Source organism: Homo sapiens, chromosome 20, assembly GCF_000001405.40.
Source record: "Homo sapiens chromosome 20, GRCh38.p14 Primary Assembly".
Lineage (NCBI taxonomy): Eukaryota > Metazoa > Chordata > Mammalia > Primates > Hominidae > Homo > Homo sapiens.
The window spans coordinates 16,705,672-16,709,055 of record NC_000020.11 but is presented as its reverse complement, the minus strand read 5'-3'; the positions used below and the strand labels follow the sequence as shown (position 1 = coordinate 16,709,055).

The following is a 3,384-nucleotide window of genomic DNA, read 5'->3' as shown; positions in this document are numbered from 1 at the left end:
AGTTCTCATTTACACTTATTCATAATTTAATTCCAAATATTGGCCAATAGTTCTTCACTAATTAACAAAAAATTGCAAATAAAAGCCCACACACACATGCACATTATGCTACCAAATGCAGAATTGTGCCTCCTCTTACAGGACCATCTATCCAGGAGGATGCATATTGTGATCTCTTAGAGCCAGAGCTCTGTTTACCATGGATTCCTGCCAAGATAACCCTTGGCATCCTTCAAAGATTTCTCTTTTAACAAGAGCAACTCTATAATACAATAGGCTTTCAAGGAGCTGAAATATAACCTTGATAGAATATAAAGATAACTCCTAGTAATGAATAGATTCAGCACTATTTCCTGTACTTTGGGGCAAGAAAACTTGAAAGAAAACACTTTGCAAGTCTGTTCTGAAGAGATAGACTCCTGAGAATATTCTGTAACTTCTCCTTCTCACTGCAAAATCTCAGACATTGCAAGAGAGATATTTATTTGGAAACAAATATGTAATTAGATTAGAAAAGAAGAAAAGGTGTTTTTGGTAGCTGTTAGTCCATTTTGTGTTGCTAGAAAGGAAGATCTGAGGCGGGTAATTTATAAAGAAAAGAGGTTTATTTAGCTTAGCAGAAGCATGGTGCCAGCACCTGCTTCTGGTGAGGGCCACAGGCTGCTCCCACTCATGGCAGAAGGCAAAGGGGAGTGATGTGCGCTGGTTCCACTCAAAGCAATAGAGGAAACAAGTGAGAAAAAGGATTAACAACCTGCTCTTGTGGAAATTGATAGAGTGAGGAGTCACCCAGAGGGACAGAAGGCATAATCTATTCATAAGGGAGCCACCCCCATGACCCAAACACTTCCAACATTGGAGATCAAATTTTAATATGAGGTTTGGAGGGGACAAGCATCCAAACTGTAGGAGTACGCTTGCTACTACGGTGGGATTGTAGCATAGAAAGCAAAAGCCCATATAAGAGAGGACTGCTGTAAAATGTAGGGTGTCTTCGGGGGTGCTTCCAGCCCAGAACTAGCAAAACTGGGAGTACGGGAGGATCTGGGTATGTAAGCACCTGAATCACTGGTTGGGAAACTACCACCAAGACAAGCCAAAGAGGTGACTCCTCCTCCCCTTCCACCTCTGTGCAGGGCTAGAGGGAGCTCAACAGGACTGACTTAGTCCAAGCAGAGGAACTGAATCTGGCACCTGGAGGAGAGAGGCAGGAACATACTCAGGGGGTGGTAACCAAAATGGGTAGTGGAAATTACTCATGTCCAGAAGACAGCACACCCTGCCATCGCAGATCAAATGTTGCATACACTTGATAATTTTCTTTAATTCCCTTTAATCTGGAACAGCTCCTTAGCCTTTCTTTGTTCTTCATAATCTTGCCATTTTGAAGAGTACTGGCTGCTTGTCACTTGATTTGTGTTTTCCTTTGATGAGAGTCATTAAGTATTTATGGGAGGCCTGCCACAAAAGTGAGATTGTGTCCAAGTGAAATGGTTTTAATCACAATGTTTTAATATAATATTTATGCATGTATTAGTTAGTAGTCCGTTTTCTTTTTTTTGTTTGTTTTTTTTTTTTTTGTTTTTTTGAGACGGAGTCTTGCTCTGTTGCCCAGGCTGGAGTGCAGTGGTGTAATCTCGACTCACTGCAAGCTCCGCCTCCTGGGTTCACGACATTCTCCTGCCTCAGCCTCCTGAGTAGCTGGGACTACAGGTGCCTGCCACCACGCCTGGCTAATTTTTTTGTATTTTTTAGTAGAGATGGGATTTCACCGTGGTCTCGATCTCCTGACCTCGTGATCTGCCTGCCTTGGCTCCCAAAGTGCTGGGATTACAGGCGTGAGCCACCGCACCCAGCCAGTAGTCCATTTTCACACTGCTGATAAAGACATACCTGAGACTGGGCAATTTACAAAAGAAAGAGTTTAAACGGACTTACAGTTCCACATGACTGGGGAAACCTCACAATCATGGTGGAAGGCAAGGAGGAGCAAGTCCCATCTTACATGGATAGCAGCAGGTGAAGAGAGAATGAGCTTGTGTAGGGAAACTCCACCTTATAATGCCATCATATCTTGTGAGATTTATTCACTATCACAAGAACAGCATGGGAAAGACCTGCCCCCATGATTCAATTACCTCCCACTGAGTCCCTTCCACAACACACGGGAATTCAAGAAGAGATTTGAGTGGGGACACAGAGCCAAACCATATTATTCCATGCTGCCCCTCCCAAATCTCATGTCCTCACATTTTAAAACAAATCATGCCTTCCCAACAGTCCCGCAAAGTCTTAACTCATTTCAGCTTTAACTCAACAGTCCACAGTCAAAAGTCTGATCTGAGACAAGGCAAGTCCCTTCCACCTATGAGCCTGTATAATCAAAAGCAAGTTAGTTACTTCCTAGATACAAGGGAGGTACAGACATTGGAATGCCAAATGTGAGAAATTGGCCAAAACAAAGGGGCTACAGGCCCCATGCAAGTCTGAAATCCAGCAGGGCAGTCAAATCTTAAAGCTCCAAAATGATCTCTTTTGACTCTATGTCTCACATTCAGGTCACACTGATGCAAGAGGTGGGTTCCAATGGTCTCGGGCAGCTCCACCCCTGTGGCTTTGAAGGGTACAGCCTCCCTCCCGGCTGCTTTCATGGGCTGGCATTGAGTGTCTGTAGCTTTTCCAGGTGCATAGTGCAAGCTGTCAGTGGATCTACCATTCTAGGGTCTGGAGGACAGTGGCCCTCTTCTCATAGCTCCACTAGGTGGTTCCCCAGTAGGGACTCTGTGCGGGGAGCTCTGACCCCAAATTTGCCTTCCATGCTGCCCTAGCAGAGGTTCTCCATGAGAACCCCACCCCTGCAGCAAACTTCTGCCTGGACATCCAGGAGTTTTCAGACATCATCTGAAATCTAGGCAGAGGTTCCCAAACCCCACTCTTGACTTCTGTGCACCCACAGGCTCAACACCATGTGGAAGCTGCCAAGGTTTGGGGCTTGCATCCTCTGAAGCCATGGCCCACGCTCTATGTTGGCCCCTTTCAGCCATAGCTGGAGCAGCTGGGATGCAGGGCACCAAGTCCCTAGGCTGCACACTGCACAAGGACCCTGGGCCTGGTCCATGAAATCACTTTTTCCTCCTAAGCCTCCAGGCCTGTGATGTGAGGGGCTGCTGTGCATGTCTCTGACATGCCCTGGAGACATTTTCCCCATTGTCTTGGGGATTAACATTCAGTTCCTTGTTACTTATGCAAATTTCTATAGCCAGCGTGAATTTCTCCTCAGAAAATTGAATTTTCTTTTCTATGGCATTGTCAGGCTGAAAATTTTTCAAACTTTTATGCTCTGTTGCCCTTTTTAAACTGAATGCTTTTAAAAGCACCCAAATC

General features: G+C 45.2%; 1 annotated feature.

Moving 5' to 3' along the window:
* Positions 844–1,013: an enhancer, noted in NCBI's record as "experimental_59901 CRE fragment used in MPRA reporter constructs". NCBI's record gives its function as "activates a minimal promoter by MPRAs in K562 erythroleukemia cells, with activity observed for both the introgressed and non-introgressed 20:16688773 variant alleles {active_cell/tissue: K562}" and the evidence as "EXISTENCE:reporter gene assay evidence [ECO:0000049][PMID:34662402]".